This window comes from Homo sapiens, chromosome 1 (genome assembly GCF_000001405.40).
Source record: "Homo sapiens chromosome 1, GRCh38.p14 Primary Assembly".
In the NCBI taxonomy this organism is placed as follows: Eukaryota; Metazoa; Chordata; class Mammalia; order Primates; family Hominidae; genus Homo; species Homo sapiens.
In genome coordinates this window covers 26,229,844-26,246,958 of record NC_000001.11, presented here as the reverse complement: position 1 = coordinate 26,246,958, position 17,115 = coordinate 26,229,844, and the positions used below count along the sequence as shown (strand labels likewise).

The 17,115-nt window shown below is 43.3% G+C and overlaps 1 protein-coding gene and 1 pseudogene across 6 annotated transcripts in view, besides 3 other annotated features; both read right to left on the bottom strand.

The window, feature by feature from the left end:
* Positions 1 to 12,759, bottom strand: part of CEP85 (centrosomal protein 85) — a 44,609-nt gene extending 31,850 nt beyond the window's left edge. For 3 of the 6 annotated variants that reach the window (NM_022778.5, NM_001319944.2, XM_017002105.3), the window contains exons 1-3: positions 12,649 to 12,759; positions 7,121 to 7,197; positions 2,641 to 2,793 (exon numbers count right to left, since the gene is read on the bottom strand). In NM_022778.5, the coding sequence (NP_073615.2) occupies positions 2,641 to 2,793; positions 7,121 to 7,175 (208 nt within the window). In that variant the 5' untranslated portion in view covers positions 7,176 to 7,197; positions 12,649 to 12,759. Of the gene's footprint in view, positions 1 to 2,640; positions 2,794 to 7,120; positions 7,198 to 9,070; positions 9,249 to 12,310 lie in introns of all 6 variants that reach the window. The other 3 variants (XM_047428051.1, XM_024449200.2, NM_001281517.3) reach the window with 3 other exon arrangements.
* Positions 112 to 205, bottom strand: LOC124904684 (uncharacterized; annotated as a pseudogene).
* Positions 11,891 to 11,940: an enhancer, noted in NCBI's record as "active region_485". NCBI's record gives its function as "activates an Ori minimal core promoter by ATAC-STARR-seq in GM12878 lymphoblastoid cells {active_cell/tissue: GM12878}" and the evidence as "EXISTENCE:reporter gene assay evidence [ECO:0000049][PMID:35858748]".
* Positions 12,031 to 12,090: an enhancer, noted in NCBI's record as "active region_484". NCBI's record gives its function as "activates an Ori minimal core promoter by ATAC-STARR-seq in GM12878 lymphoblastoid cells {active_cell/tissue: GM12878}" and the evidence as "EXISTENCE:reporter gene assay evidence [ECO:0000049][PMID:35858748]".
* Positions 12,411 to 12,560: an enhancer, noted in NCBI's record as "active region_483". NCBI's record gives its function as "activates an Ori minimal core promoter by ATAC-STARR-seq in GM12878 lymphoblastoid cells {active_cell/tissue: GM12878}" and the evidence as "EXISTENCE:reporter gene assay evidence [ECO:0000049][PMID:35858748]".

The window sequence follows — 17,115 nt, the reverse complement described above, 5'->3', positions numbered from 1 at the left end:
ACTGGTACCGGTCCTTGGCCCAGGGGTTGGAGACCCCTGATATAAAGGGAATCATGCAATATACAGCCTTTTGTGTCTGGCTTTTTTTTAACTTCATATATAATGGTTATTTCATTTTATTTTCTTTTTCTTAACGGTGCTCTACACATTCAGAAAAACTTCTCTAGTAACATACTACAGAAACGATCCCTGAAAATACAGTCTTAGTATATAATTTTTTTTTTTTTTTAAAGACGGAGTCTCACTCTGTTGCCCAAGCTGGAGTGCAATGGCACGATCTCACCTCACTGCAACCTCTGCCTCCCGGGTTCAAGCAATTCTCTTGTCTCAGCCTCCCGAGTAGATTACAGGCATACATCACCACGCCCAGCTAATTTTTTGTATTTTAGTAAAGATGGGCTTTCACCGTGTTGCCCAGGCTGGTCTCGAACTCCTGAGCTCAGGCAATCCACCCGCCTTGGCCTCCCAAAGCGCTAGGATTATAGACATCAGCCCCTACATCTGGCCAGTATATGTTTTTAAGGTAGCATGTACCAGTATTTCATTTCTTTTTATTGCTGAATAATATTCTACTGTATTATATGGATATTCATTCATTCATCAGTTGTGGGTTTTGGATTGTTTCTACTTTTGACTATCATGAATAATGCTGCTACCAACATTTATGTACAAGTCCACACAAAAACTTGTGTATTCATTTCTCCTGGGTATATATCTAAGAGTAGAACTATCGGGTCAGGAATAACTCTATGTTTAACCTTTTGAGGAACTGCCTGTTTTCCAAAGCAGCTGCAATACTTTACATTCCTACCAGCAATGCACAAAAGTTTCCATTTCTCTACATTCTCACCAAAAAGGCTGCTACAATTTAAAAAGAGTGCACAGAAGGGAAATACATATGTATTTCCCTAGAGGAATAAAAAACGGAGTCACACACGCAACCTGTGTAACAAAGTGATTGAACTTACTTTTTTTTTTTGAGACAGGGTCTCACTATGCTGCCCAGGCTAGTCTCAAACTCCTGGGCTCAAGTGATCCTCCTGCCTCAGCCTCCCAAGTAGCTAGGATTGTTATCTTCTGGAATATAGCCATCCAAGTGGCTGTGGAGTAGATGTTTTAAAATTACAACATATGATTATCAAAGTGACAAGTTTTGTGACTTTAAGAAACTCATTCAATCACTTTGAAATTCAGCCTTTTCATCCGTAAAATGGAAATAAGAAGACATATTATAGGCTTCTTAAGGGCTTTAGTGAAATAATACAGAAAAAATTTATAGTATCTATCACAAAGCATACAATCAACAGTAGTTAATTATTATCAATTAGGTTCTCTGCCTTCTAGAACTCACCAATCTAAACGGAAAAACAAAATGCCCTTATAAAGTATTGCCTGTCAATACTTAAGTGTGAAAACAAGTGGCAGAGATAATAAAGATACAAGAATGCAAGGAGAATGATATGACTAATGAGCGTAAGGGATGGGAAAAGCCTGCGGGACATTTGCTGGATCTTGAATAGTAACATCAGCATAGCTAGGAAAGGCAAGAGGAGGCAGGCATCGCATACATGGGCCCAGATTAAAGAAGGAAAAAAAGAGCCCCAGTATCAGAAACCAAAAACCAGCTGGGTATGGTGGTTCCAGCCTGTAATCCCAGCACTCAGCACTTTGGGAGGCTGAGGCAATAGGATCGTTTCAGGCAAAGAGTTTGAGACCAGCCTGGGCTATATAGCAAGATCTCAATTCTACAAAAAATGAAAAAAAAAAAAAATAGCTGGGTGTGGTGGCACCATGCTAGTAGTCCCTGCTACTCAGGAGCCTAGGAGTTTACGGCTGCAGTGAGCATGATGGCACTACTGCACTCCAGCCTGGGTGACAGAGTGAGACCATCTCAAAAAATTAATAGAAACAAAACAAAAAACAGGACTTTACGTTCAGACTTGGTGACAGCAGGAAATATGTTTGAGTGGGTGGGATAGGGACGATCACAGAACGGAAGACTCTGAACTTCATCGCCCAAGCAATAGGAGTTATTGAAGATTTATAGGAAACTATGAAATTAGGCTTTTAGCAAAAATAATCTGGCAGCAGAGGGAAAGACTTGAGGCCAATTAACCTATCAGAAAGTTGTTTCAAAGGCTAGGCACAGGGGCTCATTCCTGTAATCTCAGCACTTTGGGAGGCCGAGGCAGGTGGTTCTCTTGAGTCTGGGAGTCCAGACCAGCCTGGGCAACATGGCAAAACGCCATCTCTATAAAAACACACAAAAAATTAGCCAGCCACGGTGGTGCATACCTGCAGTCTCAGCTACCTAGGAGGCTGAGGTGGGAGGATTACCTCAGCATGGGAGGCTGCAGCGAGCTATGATCATGCCAGTGCACTCCAACCTGAGTGACAGAGTGAGACCCTGTCTCCCCACCCCCCAACAAAGTTGTTTCAGATAAGATAAAAAGTAGAAATTTAGATAAAGGGACCAGATGTGAGAAGCACAGGGTAAGAAGAATGAGAGACTCCTTGAATGAAATGGAATGACGTTATGAACATTCTGGAAATAACACAATCTGGAAATGCCAATATACCCAAAATGCAATCTGAAAATGAGAACACATATTGGTAATCAAATCATTAATACAAACTTACCCTCCGCAATATCTGAGCATGATGTACCAATGGCTGTGTCCCCACTGTCGGCTACACTTGAACAGCGGCTGAAGCGGCTCCGAAAGGGCTCCGAGATAACTGGGGTCTGCCATTCAGTCCCCAGGGAACTGCCCTTCTGAATCACATCGGAACCTGAAACAAGAGGCATTTCCCACCTTTACTGTGAACCAGCTGATGTAACCCCATCAGATCTTTTTTTAAAAAATCACATAAACCTAAGAGAATAGCAGCAACCCACCCCTTTCTCTCTCCTGTGCCTATTTCAGCTGCTCCGATCTAGTTTTTTTTTTTTTTTTTTTTTTTTTTGAGACGGAGTCTGCTCTGTCACCCAGGCTTGAGTGCAGTGGCGCGCAGCTCACTGCAGCCTCCACCTCCTGGGTTCAAGCAATTCTCTGCCTTAGCCTCCCGAGTAGCTGGGATTACAGGCGCCCACCACCACGCCCAGTTAATTTTTATATTTTTAGTAGAGACGCGGTTTCACCATCTTGGCCAGGCTGGTCTTGAACTCCTGATCTCATAATCCACCCGCCTTGGCCTCCCAAAGTGCTGGGATTACAGGTGTGAGCCACTGCGCCAAGCCTGAGCTAGTTAATTTTAAGTGGAAATAGTATGAGAAGTGAGAATATTCAAAGATGTTAATAAGACCCATGAAGAATCCAGGAGTACTGGAACAGAAAACAATCATATTTAATAGCAGTGGCCATTTATTGAAACCTGTAAAGCCACAGGACCTTACAAACATAATCTTGCCTACCTACTTACTGAAAAGTATTACCACCCCTATTTTACAGAGGGGAGGGCTGATATTTGAATCCAGTTCTTTCTGATTCCAAAACCCACATTCTTTCCTCTTTCTTACAGTTTCTCAATGGTGCTTTTGGCATTCTGGGGATGACCATTCTTCAATGTGTAGTCTATACATTACAGAATGGTTTAGCATCCCTGGTTCCCACTCACTGAATGCCAGCAGCAACCCTCAACCAAGACCACCATCACTGTGAAACCAGAAAATAACCATATAGTTCCAAATGATTCCTAGGGCAACAAGCAGTCCAGTCCCCAGTTGAAAATCATTGCTTCGAGGTTGCAGTGAGCAAAGATTGCGCCACTGCACTCCAGCCTAGGCAACAAGAGCGAAACCCCATCTCAGAAAAAAAAAAAAAAAAAAAGAAAATCACTGCTTCACTGAACCAGGGTACCCTCAATAGGTGAATCCTATTGAGATCAAGGTGAGTTTTGAAAGTCAATCTGAAGAGCCTAGGGCTTTATCTTGAGAGCAACGTGAAGATATCACTAAAACTGCTGAGAAGGTTAAGACAAAAAGACTGATGAGATTTATTTGATTTAAAATATGCTGTTTGGGGGGAGGTAGGTAGGAAGTGTTCAATAAATACTTGATTCACTAACATTCTAGCAAAGACTTAAATTTATTTTCTAAAAACCACTATAATTTTCCTAAGGTGTATCTGGTGATCCATGTAAACAAATAAACAAACAAACAAAAAAACTAATGGCAGCTACTTATCCTCCATTTAACTTAAAGTGTGAAAGCCGATTTCAGAAAATACGGTTCTACAGACTCGCTGATCTAGTGGGAGGCAAATGATTGCTCCCACTAAATGATTACGCCCAAAGTAATTTGGACACAAATTACTTTATTCCTTTCTTCCAAGTTTAGTGCTTCTCTCATCTTTTTAATCTATTTTCTTCTACTTTTGCTCATTTTTTGCTACCCTTACTTTGGCTTTCTACTGAAGGCAACCTGACTTTCCCCAAATACTTCTTCTATTCTTTGGATCACAGTGACTGCCTGATTTGAAAGAATCTTTATACACTCAGTAATCTGTAATTGTTATAGAAGACACAGGCAACAATCCGAGTTTCTGAGCGGCATGAGATTAGCCAATGCTACTATACTAAGTTGGTGTAATTCTAGCCCAAAGCAAAGAAATCCCACCTTCTGGTGAGTCTACACAGCTTTTTCTCTCTAGTCAGTGTAAAATTTGCCAGGCCTTTTGAAACAGTTAAGATTGAGGGCCTCTATTACCATCTTCCTGACTTCCTACTGGAAACCGCTTCCCTGTTACTACTACTAATCTTCCACTCTTCATCGCTACCATTTTTCCATCCACCTACTCCATACCCTAATTCCAAAGAGTTATTTGTTAAAAATATATTTTGGTATATTTATAGAGGTTTACACTTATTTCAAAATTGAAGTTTAAATGCTGAAGTTGGCCGGGTGCAGTGGCTCATGCCTGTAATCCTAGCACTTTGGGAGGCGGGGGTGGGCAGATTACCTGAGCTCAGGAGTTGGAGACCAGCCTGGGCATATGGCGAAACCCGTCTCTACTAAAAATACAAAAAAATTAGCCAGGTGTGGTGGTGCATGCCTGTAATCCCAGCTACTTGGGAGGCTGAGGCACAAGAATCACTTAAACCCAGGAGACAGAAGTTGCAGTGAGCTGAGATTGTGCCACTGCACTCCAGCCTGGGCCACAGAACAAGACTCCGTCTCCAAAAAAAAAAAAGAAAAGCTGAAATTTTTTGTGTTATAGTGCATGTCCTATCAGTAGCATCCTTATCAATTATTAAGACCATTATTAATCTGAATGAGATACTATTGAAGAGAGAAAAAAGCCATAGGAAAGGCATTGTTCCAAAAACTTGCATTATATACATAATTGTCATAGAAACTGTACAAACCTAAGAGAATGTGCAGCACATAGCAGATGTTTAAAAAATATTTCCTGAGGCCGGGTGCAGTGGCTCACGCCTGTAATCCCAGCACTTTGCGAGGCCCAGGCGGGCAGATCACAAGGTCAGGAGATTGAGACCATCCTGGCTAACATGGTGAAACCCCGTCTCTATTAAAAAATGCAAAAAAATTAGCTGGGCATGGTGGCGGGCACCTGTAGTCCCAGCTACTTGGGAGGCTGAGGCAGGAGAATGGCATGAACCCGGGAAGCGGAGCTTGTAGTGAGCCGAGATCACGCCACTGCACTCTAGCCTGGGTGACAGAGCGAGACTCCATTTCAAAAAAAAAAAAAAAATTCTGCTGAATGAATCTTGAATTGATTCAACCAAAGCTTATAATGGTGCCTACTCTATGCAAGGCAGCATGCCTAAGAGAATACACCAAACATTTACCAAATATCTACGCTGAGTAAGGCACTGTGAGATTTTAAAGTTAAATAAAACATACCCTGAGTTGAATTAAACGTGCCCTCTTCTTTACCAATACCCCAGAATTCAACAAGTCATTTTTCTAAAATATTACTTATTTGAAATATATATTATCTACTTAATATGCCTGCACAGTGCATACATATATTTATGTGTTTAATATACAGTCAGCTCTCCATATCCATGGTTTCTTTTTTTTCCCCTTTTTTTTTTTGAGACACAGTCTCACTCTGTTGCCCAGGCTGGAGTGCAGTGGCGTCATCTCAGCTCACCTCAACCTCTGCTTCCCGTGTTCAAGTGATTCTCCTGCCTCAGCCTCCCAAGTAGCTGGGATTATTATAGGCACATGCCACTGCACCCGGCTAATTTTTGTATTTTTAGTAGACATGGAGTTTTACCATGTTGGCCAGGCTGGTCTCAAACTCCTGACCTCAGGTGATCCACCCGCCTTGGGCTCCCAAAGTGCTGGGATTACAGGCATGAGCCACAGCGCCTGGCCATATCCGTGGTTTCTACGTTTGTGAATTCAACCAATTTTTTTTTTTAATGGTATCTTACTGAATGTGCATAAGACTTGTTTTTCTTCTTATTCCCCAAACAATACAGTATAACTATTTACATAGCATTTACATTGCATTGGGTATTACAAGTAATCTAGAGACGATTTAAGGTAAACATTAGGATATACACAGGTTATATGCAAATACCACACCATTTTATATCAGGGACTTGAGTATCTGTGGATTTTGCTATCTGCAGGAGGTCTTGGAACCAGTCCGCCATGGACACTTAAGGACTGTATATATTTAATATATCTACTGAAGTTTCAAAATCTTGTTAATCCATTCTGAAGATAAATTCCTGAGTTTCTAGTAACAATGCAACGGAATCTGTTGGCATCCAAGCAGAATTCCTATTTTTGTGGGCTAGCAGATGACTGACCCACCCAGAGGACAAAGACAACATAGAACACAGTAATTTATGCTGTGTTTTTCTGATTTCAAATGGAACTATGTTCCAAAGTCATTCTGTTCCAATCCTTTATATGTCGTCCTCTCCCAACCACGTGGTCCTGTTGAAAGCCACATAGCACAAGAGATAAATACTTGTTCCCTCAGAGACCTGTTTTTATATTCAATGAAGCCCCATGTTATTTTTATTCTTTTAGCACCAGCATTTCAGTGAATGCTTGTTTGTTCAATATTTACCTTAAGGAATATGAAAAAACAGAACAAAGGTCAGAATTTAACCCAGAAAACTTCTGACTACTCACTCGGTGAAGTGACGTGAGAGATCCCCTCAGTTGGATATTTCTCCTGCATGGCCATCAATCACAGTTATTTAAGCCAACTGTAGAATGAAGGAATAACCAGTCAGTTCTCTGAAGTATCTTTAATTCCCCGCAACTCAGTTCCCATTCAACTGAAACTGTCAAAACCATATAGAATATTCAAGTATTTGGCCAGGCACAGTGGCTCACACCTGTAATCCCAGCACTTTGGGAGGCCAAGGCGGGCAGATCAACTGAGGTCAGGAGTTCGAGACCAGCCTGACCAACATGGGGAAACCCCATTTCTACTAAAAACACAAAAATTGGCCGGGCATGGTGGCACACATCTGTAGTCCCAGCTACTTGGGAGGCTGAGGCACAAGGATTGCTTGAACCCGGGAGGCAGAGGTTTCAGTGAGCCAAGATCACACCACTGCACTCCAGCCTGGGCAACTGAGCAAGACTCCATCTCAAAAAAAATAAAAAAGAATATTCCAGTATTCTAAATGTTATATTCCTAAGGATATTTAGGAGTAAATATGTTTTTACATGTTTTACTTCTAAGGATATTTTTAAGACAAAGTAAATCCCAATACTCCACTCTACTTCTCTTCCCAAATCCAGTATAGAAAACCTAGAACCAGAGATTACCAATACAGATTCCATACGGTCCTAGAACCCTTCTGATTTTTATAAAATTTAAAAATATTACTTTTAATTAACAAACTTTACCATGAATCTTCTTAGCCATGGGGACCTGATGACAGGACGAGGTGGATAAAGAACTAAAGAACTAAACCAACAGTGAAGTATTACAGCATCAATTATGATTAACACAAAACAAATTCCTCAATTCTTCCAGTAATTAAAGTCAGTCATACGATGTAAAAAGATGGGAAAGAATTCTTGCTCATAAGTAGAACTCCAATCCTGAGCTAGGAACGTGAAGTTCTCGTCCCATGTTCTCACTCCTTAAAATATTTATATTTACAGTACACTAGGGGTAGGTGCTGAGAATTCAGCAGAAGTGGATTTGAAGTCTAAACAAATACACTTGAACCCACTAAACATTAAGTTATCAATTTATTAGCTGTGTAACCTTGGGCAAATTTCTTAGTATCTCTGTTCCTCATTTTCTTCATATAAAAATGAGGATAACAACACAACCTAATTCATGTTAATTCACTTATAATTAACTTACAACAGTTCCTGACACATACTAAGTGCTGTTATTACTTGGCAATTTACATCAACAAAAGTAGCACTGTACAGCCCATGGAAGATCAAGGAGTATCAACTCAGAAACTCTAAATTTATAAAAGCCCCAAAAGAGTTTGGGACAATTCGGCCGGGCTCAGTGGCTCACGCCTGTAATCCCAGCACTTTGGGAGGCCGAGGCAGGCGGATCACCTGAGGTCAGGAGTTCGAGACCAGCCAACATGGTGAAACCCCGTCTCTACTAAAAATACAAAAATTAGCCAGGCATGGTGGCAGGCGCCTGTAATCCCAGCTACTTGGGAGGCTGAGGCAGGAGAATCGCTTGGACCATGGAGGCGGAGGCTGCAGTGAGCCAAGATCGCGCCATTGCACTCCAGCCTGGGCGACAGAGCAAGACTCCGTCTCAAAAAAAAAAAAAAAAGAGTTTGGGACAATTCACAGAACATAATTCTATCACTCTGGAGAAAAAAGACTATATGGTACTATTTCTCTAATGTACTTTAGTGACCTCTATAGTATTCTCTTGTTACTAAGAGAATACTATAGAGGTCACTAAAGTACATAACAACCCAAACCCTTATTAATTCACTGCATCTACAATAGAAAGGGTATCATCCTCCACAATTCCAGTTCTTCACATACTGGGTGAGGGAAGCTTTGTTCAGTAATAAAAGCTTTAGTTTATGGCAAGTATGATTCAGTGAGTTAAATGATGACATAGAATGATTAGATTACCTCCTTACTAGTGATTTCCTTTCTTGTCAATATCAAAATCCTTTTCTTCACTCCTTTCTTTAAAGGATAACAAAATGGTAGGCGCACTGGATTCTAAGGTGTTTCTAAATTCAGACAAGTTGAAAATACGGTGACAGAAGGAGAACTCCGAGTTACCCTATGACTCAGCAATTCCACACTGAAGTATACACCCAAGAGAAATGAAAACACAGGTTTACACAAAAGCTTCAATAAGAATGTTCGTAGCAGCATTATTTACAATAGCCAAAAAGTGGAAACAACACAAACGTCCATGAGCTAATGAATGGATACATAAAATGTGGTATATCCAAAAAACAGAGTATTATTCAGCAATAAAAGGAAGTACTGATACATGTGACAACATGGATGAACACTGAAGACATGCAAAGTCAAAGAAGCCAAACAAAAGGCTTGATCCTATTTATATGAAATGTCAGAATAGGCAAATCCATAGAGACACAGATTAGTGATTGCAAAGGACTGAGAGGAGGGAGGGTAGGAGAATAGGAAGGGACTGCTAATGGATACCGGGTTTCTTTTCAGGGTGATCAAAATGTTCTGAGATTAGATAGTGGTGACTGACTGCACAACCTTGCCAATATATTAAAAACCTCTGAATTGCACACACATAAAATTAAATTTTATGTTATGTGATATAAGCCAAAAAAAAAATTCTAAGACATCCCCAACCACCTGAATGGATCCCTCCCCTTGGCCAATGGCATTCCAAAGTTAAGCTGAAAAACCTGTTAAGGCCATGATGGTGGTAGTGGTGGTGGAGTCCTACACCCCTCATTATACCCTCCTCCCTTCTGGAATTTAGGAAAAGCATTAACATTAACACAGATGTCTGTAAGAAACATTTATAATCTATTCTCTCTAAAGCCTACTATTTGGAGGCTTCATCTGTACAATAAAATGTTGATCCCCAGGATACCTTAACCCAGACATTCCTTTCTATTGATAACAACTTTCAACCAACTGCCAATCAGAAAATTTTGAAATCTACCTATGACCTGGAAGCCCCCACCCACTAAGAGTTGTCTTACCCTTCCAGATCAATGTAAATCTTACATGTATTTGACTGATGTCTCATGTCTACCTAAAATGTTTAAAACCAGGGCACACGTTATCAGGATCACCTGAGGGCTGTGTCAGGGGCCACTGGTCACCCATATTTGGCTCAGAATAAATCCCTTCAAATATTTCAGAGTCTGACCCTCATTGACAACAAATATCTCAAAAAAGAAAAACAGAAAGAAAGAAACCCCGTAAGGAGTAAAACAATACAAAATAAATCATTCTTGACTTAAGAATTAGATGAGCTACTGGTGGAAATTTTTGGGACAACTGAAGGAGACAGAAATTTCCTGGGATAAAAATGAGAGAAGTGAATGTACAAGAAGTAACACACCAGTTATAAAGCTTAGAAAGGGAGTGAATGGAGGCAGACAGAGGGGAAAAAAAAAAAAAGCACCCAACAGGATTGGTTTCCATCTTCAAAGCCCTTTAAACTACAGAAACAGTCACTCATTCAACAAATTTAACATGCATTCTGCACTTACTACCTATCAAACACTGTGCTCAACACTTTTTAAGTATCATGTCTCATGTTTCATGTTCACATCAACCCTATGAGGCAGTTACTATTATCCTCATTTTATGGATGAGAAAATAAAGGTTTACAGTAGTGAAGGTCATATGGCTAGGAAGAGGCTTCAAAGCCAGGACTGTACTCTAACGCTACAGTAGTCTAGTCAGCATTCTACATGTGACAAAACACAAAAAAAGAGATCAAGCATGGCACCACAAGTTGGAGTTTCTGCCTCAGACAGCTAGAGCTGCAAGCCTCAATTATATGAGCAGTAAAAGCTCATAAAATTTCTTCACTTTGTCCTTGGTCATCACCTAGGCTTTATTTCTCAAGTTGCTACCCAAGAATTAGATTTTGACTGCCGTAAGTATTTTTCCCCTATAAGAATTACAATCTAAGTGTGGCCGGGCGTGGTGGCTCACGCCTGTAATCCCAGCATTTTGGGAGGCCGAGGCGGGCGGATCACCTGAGGTCGGGAGTTTGAGACCAGCCTGACCAACATGGAGAAACGCCGTCTCTACTAAAAATACAAAATTATCCGTGCATGGTGGCGCATGCCTGTAATCCCAGCTACTCGGGAGGCTGAGGCAGGAGAATCGCTTGAACCTGGGAGGCGGAGGTTGCGGTGAGCCGACATCGCGCCACGGCACTCCAGCCTGGGCAACAAGAGCAAAACTCCGTCTCACAAAAAAAAAAAAAAAAAAAAGAATTACAATCTAAGTGTGGAACATCATGCTTGGCAGCTGTTAAGAGAACCACATCAAGACAAGAGAGGATTTGAAGGGATACACAGACAGCTGACACAGACACACGAAGGATCTCACACCATTACACTATTTTCACCGCCTTGATCATTCATTAAACCTTGTGAAAGAGAAGCCAAATCCTTGACAAGAAGTTGCCTTTACAAAGAAAAGTCGTGAGACATACAAAACCACCAGATCACTATAAAGCAGACAAGGTTTGAGGGCAAATAAATGAGGCCTGGCTAGCTTCATCGTCCTTGTATCACCACCGCCCCCTACTTATCCCAGTGTTCAATTCATCAACCGAAATTTACTGCGTGCCTACTATGCGCCTGGCTCTGAGCCACGTGTTGGGAATGTACTGGTGTAAAGGATCGCTCTCATTAACTGAGGTGAAGTAAGCGTTGAATATACTGTTGAACAAATAAACCTGAACACACTAACTTTCAGTTCAACCAAAGCACCAGCTCCTTCTCGCTGAAGGAAGCTTCCTCACCTTCCGCCCTACTGACATTTTGGGGGATTTTTCTTTGTTGTTGGGGGCGTCCTACACACAGTAGGCTGTGTAACAGCATCCCTGGCTTCTTCGCACTAGATGCCAGTAGCAAGCCCTGGAGCTGTGACTATCAAAAGTGTTTCCAGACATCGACCAATGTCCCCAGGGAAGCAAAATCGCCCCGGCCGAGAAGTACCGGGGTAAGGCCCCGCCAAGTGCTTTCCGTCCCACAACCTTAATTCTCTACACAGCCTTCCAATCTCGGCTCAAACTTCTCCTCCTCGGGGAGGGCTCCCTGACCTCTCCGACTAGATCCGCGCCTTCTGTTTTGCGCTCTTTGTAAGATTTCTCCACTCTACCCTCACTGCGCGCCGAGGGATTACCCCGCTTAACGTCGACTCCCAGGGCTGTGCGCTCCGCAAGGGCAAGGAATGCGCCGCTCGCTGTGTCCCTGGCTATCGGCACAGGGCCTGGCACGCAGGTAAAGTGACTGCCGTGGGGTGAACCACGGACGGCAAAGCAAGGCAACGGGGGAAGCGAGGGGAATGGGACGCGAGAGGGCGTATGCCGGGGCACTGGCTTCGGAGCCGAGGCGCATGCGCTTCGCTCTCCCCGGCCCCTCACGGTGGCAGGTCGCGAGCGTCTGAGGCTTCGCCGGAGCTATGGGAGGAGAGGCAAGGTCGGCCACTAGGACTGAGGCTCCCGAAGGAGGAAAACTTACACGGGCCTGAAAGCGGGCGGCGAAATCCCTCACTCGGGAAGACTGACTGCAGCCACCACGTCTGCGGTGAGCGGTGGTTCCCTCCCTCAGCTCCTCTAACGGCCGTTGCACGCCCGCCAGGCCGCGCGCCACAGAACGCGCGTCGTTTGGCCCCACCCCGTTCTGCCGCCTCTGGCCAATCGGGAGTCGAGCCGCGCCGGCTTCCCGCCCCTTTCTATCCTCTTCTGACCAATCGGCAGCCGAGCCGCGTCGGTATCCCGCCCCCACACGCTACCCTCTGCTCAGAGAGCCGGACGGATCTTTCTGCGCATGACCACGTCGCCACTTGGCTCCTTCTCTGCCCCTTGCCGCGTTTTACCTGTAGGTGGAGCTCTGCTCACCTAGACCTGGAGGGGCCCTGCTGGGCCTGTGCAGGTTGGGAAGCTGGCGGCCCGCGGGCGGGGCTGGGGACACGAGAATCCCACTCAGCTTGCCTCACCCTCCTTCCATTCCAACGCCGGTCTATCAGTTCTCACACCTGAAGCAGGGGTTCAGGTTGTGACCAGGAGTTAGGGTGTGGCCTGGGTCACTGACTAGTCAGGGTCAAGGCTTGGTCTGGGTTGGACGCAGTGGTCAGCCTGTGACCAAGGTTCAGGTTGAAGGGTAAAGGATCAGTCCTGCCTCCCTCCCCAAACTTGGTCCACAGGAAAAGGAACTGTTAAGTCCATTTGCATTAATATGCGCTTGAAGAGTCAGACAGGAAAATTGTTTGAAAGGAGAACAGAACCATCAGCCAAAGGAATGAATCTCAGATAGTGAAATTCTGGGTATCTAGAAACCTGACTTGGCAGGGAGAGATACTAAAAAATTGTATAGGAGGCCGGGCGCGGTGGCTCATGCCTGTAATCCCAGCACTTTGGGAGACAGAGGAGGGCGGATCACGAGGTCAGGAGATCGAGACCATCCTGGCCAATATGGTGAAACCCCGTCTCTACTAAAAATACAAAAATTAGCTGGGTGTGGTGGCGCATACCTGTAATCCCAGCTACTCGGGAGGCTGAGGCAGCAGAATCGCCTGAACCAGGGAGCCGGAGGTTGCAGTGAGCCGAGATCGTGCCCCTGCACTCCAAAAAAAAGTTGTATGGAAAAAAAAAGTTGTATAATTTCTTAGCTTTAAGAGCCAGACAAAGTGAGTTCATTACTGAATAAAAGTCACTCTAGAGGAAAGACCCTAGGGATGTGCCCCAAGGTTGTATCCTTTGTCCTCTCTTTTAGTATTTTAAGATAAGAATATAGAAGACATAAAATAGCAGATTTAATGGATAATGAAAATGAACCTGGGTATGATATGAAATTAGGACCAGAAGCCTCTGTTAACGTAAAGGCTAAAAAAAAAAATGTTAAGACAGGGTGTCTAAATGAATAAATTTATGGACTGAAGGGTAGAAAGCTAGAAAGTGTTAGTCCTGGCCGGGCACGGTGGCTCACGCCTGTAATCCCAGCACTTTGGGAGGCCCAGGCAGGTGGATCACTTGAGGTCGGGAGTTTGAGACCAGCCTGTGGCCAACATGATAAAACCCTACTAAAAATACAAAATTAGCCAGGTGTGGTGGTGGGCACCTGTAATCCCAGCTACTGGGGAAGCTGGGGCAAGAGAATCACTTGAACTCAGGAGGAGAGGTTGCAGTGAGCCAAGATCACTGCACTCCAGCCTGGGCAACAGAGCGAGGTTCTGAAAGAAAGAAGGAAAGAAGGAAAGACGGAAGGAAAGAAGGAAAGAAAGAAAAAGAAAGAAAGAAAGAGAAAGAAGAGTCAGAAAACATTGAAAGGCTTCCATTTCTTTTGTGAAAGGCATATGTGAGGAGGGAGGGAACAGGGGCATCTAGAGGACTGAGAAGAATTAGGAAGATGTGAATTGCTGATACAGAGGATAGAAGAGAAATCCGACTGGAAACATAGTGGAAGTGTTGAGATTTAAATTTACAAATAGCAAACAGTACATTTGTACAGTTCTTTGTAATAGATATCTATAGTTTAAAAGTAATTCCATTATCTACTGTCAATTTTCTTTTTTGTTTTGTTTTGAGACAGAGTCTTGCTCTGTCACCCAGGCTGGAGTGCAGTGGCACGATCTCAGCTCACTGCAACCTCTGCCTCCCAGGTTCAAGCAATTCTCCTGTCTCAGCCTCCTGAGTAGCTGGGACTATAGGCACCCACCACTACACCCGGCTAATTTTTGTATTTTTAGTAGAGACGGGGTTGCACCATGTTGGCCAGGCTGGTCTCGAACTCCTGACCTCAGGTGATCTGCCCGCCTTGGCCTCCCAAAATCCTGGGATTACAGGCGTGAGCCACCGTGGCCGGCCCTACTGCCAATTTTCAAATGTGAATGACTTGTCATATGTATATATATACATATATGCTAGTCAGGGTTATTGCACAGTCTGAGGCTAGGGTCAGGGCTTGGTCTGGGTTGGAGGCACTGGTCAGCCTGTGACCAGGGTTTAGTTTGAAGGGTAAGGAATCAGTCCTGCCTTCCTCCCCAAACTTAGTCCCCAGGAAAAGGAACCATTAAGTCCATTTGCGTTAATATGAGCTTGAAGAATCAGACTGGAAAATTGTTTCAAAGGAGGAACACACACACACACACACACACACACACACAGACACACATGCATTTGAGAAGGAGTCTCTTTATGTTGCCCAGGCTGGGCTCAAACTCCTGGGCTCAAGCTATCCTCCCGTTCAACCTCCAGAGTAGCTGGGACTACCAGCATGTGCCACCACTCTCAGCTCATTTATATTTTAACAGAGACTTTTGGTCCTAGTTTCAGAGAATATTCATGACCAACCTCTTTAGATATATTCTTTGTTTTTTTCTGAGATGGAGTCTTGCTTTGTCGCCCAGGCTGGAGTGCAGTGGAGCGATCTCGGCTCACTGCAACCTCTGCCTCCCGGGTTCAAGCGATTCTTCTGCCTCAGCCTCCTGATTAGCTGGGACTACAGGCGCACGCCACCATGCCTGACTAATTTTTGTATTTTTAATAGAGACGGGGTTTCACCATGTTGGCCAGTCTGGTCTCAAATTCCTGACCTTGTGATCCACCCACCTTGGCCTCCCAAAGTGTTGGGATTACCGGTGTGAGCGCCTGGCCAATATAAGATATTCTTAAATTGTCAGTTACATTATTATTTTTAAAAGACTAGCTGGATGTATTAGTCTGTTCTCACGGTGAGAACAGACTAATGTTCACTGGGTAAGACATACCTGAGACTAGGTAATTTATAAAGGGAAGAGGTTTAATTGACTCACAGTTCCACAGGGCTGGGGAGGCCTCAGGAAACTTACAATCATGGCAGAAGGGGAAGCAAACACATCCTTCTTCACATGGTGACAGCAAGGAGAAGTGCCCAGCAAAAAGGGGAAAAGCCCTTTATAAAACCATCAGATCTTGTGAGAAGTCACTTTCATGAGACCAGCATGAGGGCAACCGCCCCCATGATTAAATTACCTCCCTTCAGTTCCCTCCTATGACACATGGAGATTATGGGAACAAGATGAGATTTGGGTAGGGACACAGCGAAATCATATCACTGAATATTTTAATAAAATATATCAAGTACACTGACTTAATGACTGAAAAGGGACAGGGTTAGTCCAGATGTGACCCACCTCAGTATAAAAAAAAAATTGCAACTTAGTTACAATCATATAATTAGAGTTATCACTTTCATATGCACTGTGTGGTCTGGTGGATTATTTTATAAGCATCTATTGTTACACAGCACTGAGGCTTCTTTAACATGGTCAACTAATTTAGTTTAAATGCAATAGCTTCCTTGTTTACTTAATTTTATTTCATTTATTTTCTTTTTGAGATATTTAAGCGGAGTCAATATTTTGTCCTTATCCTTCAAGATATATATGTATATATTTTTTCTACTTCCCTTCTTCCCTCAGGATATATTTTATCTATTTATTTTTGAGACAGAGTCTTGCTCTGCCACCCAGGCGGGAGTGCAATGGCACAATCTCGGCTTACTGCAAACTTCCACCTCTTGGGTTCAAGCAATTCTCCTGCCTCATCCTCCCGAGTAGCTGGGATTACAGGCACCTGCCACCACACCCAGCTAATTTTTGTATTTTTAGTAGAGACAGGATTTCACTATTATGGCCAGGCTGGGCTTGCATGCCTAACCTCAGGTGATCCGCCCACCCCAACATCCCAAAATGTGGGGATTACAAGCGTGAGCCACAGTGCCTGGCCAGGATACATTTTAAATAACGGCAAGGGCTAATGCCTTTGATAGCAGGACTGTTTAAAGTCTACTACAGACGTATAAAGTCAATATGAATTCACAATGAAATGTAATTTATTGCTGATTTAATAAATGTGTGACTTTGATGTGCATGAAAAAATAACATGGATTGATCATTTGACATGATTTTTTTCAGGAGCTGTTAAGGCATTAAAGACAACAAAATGT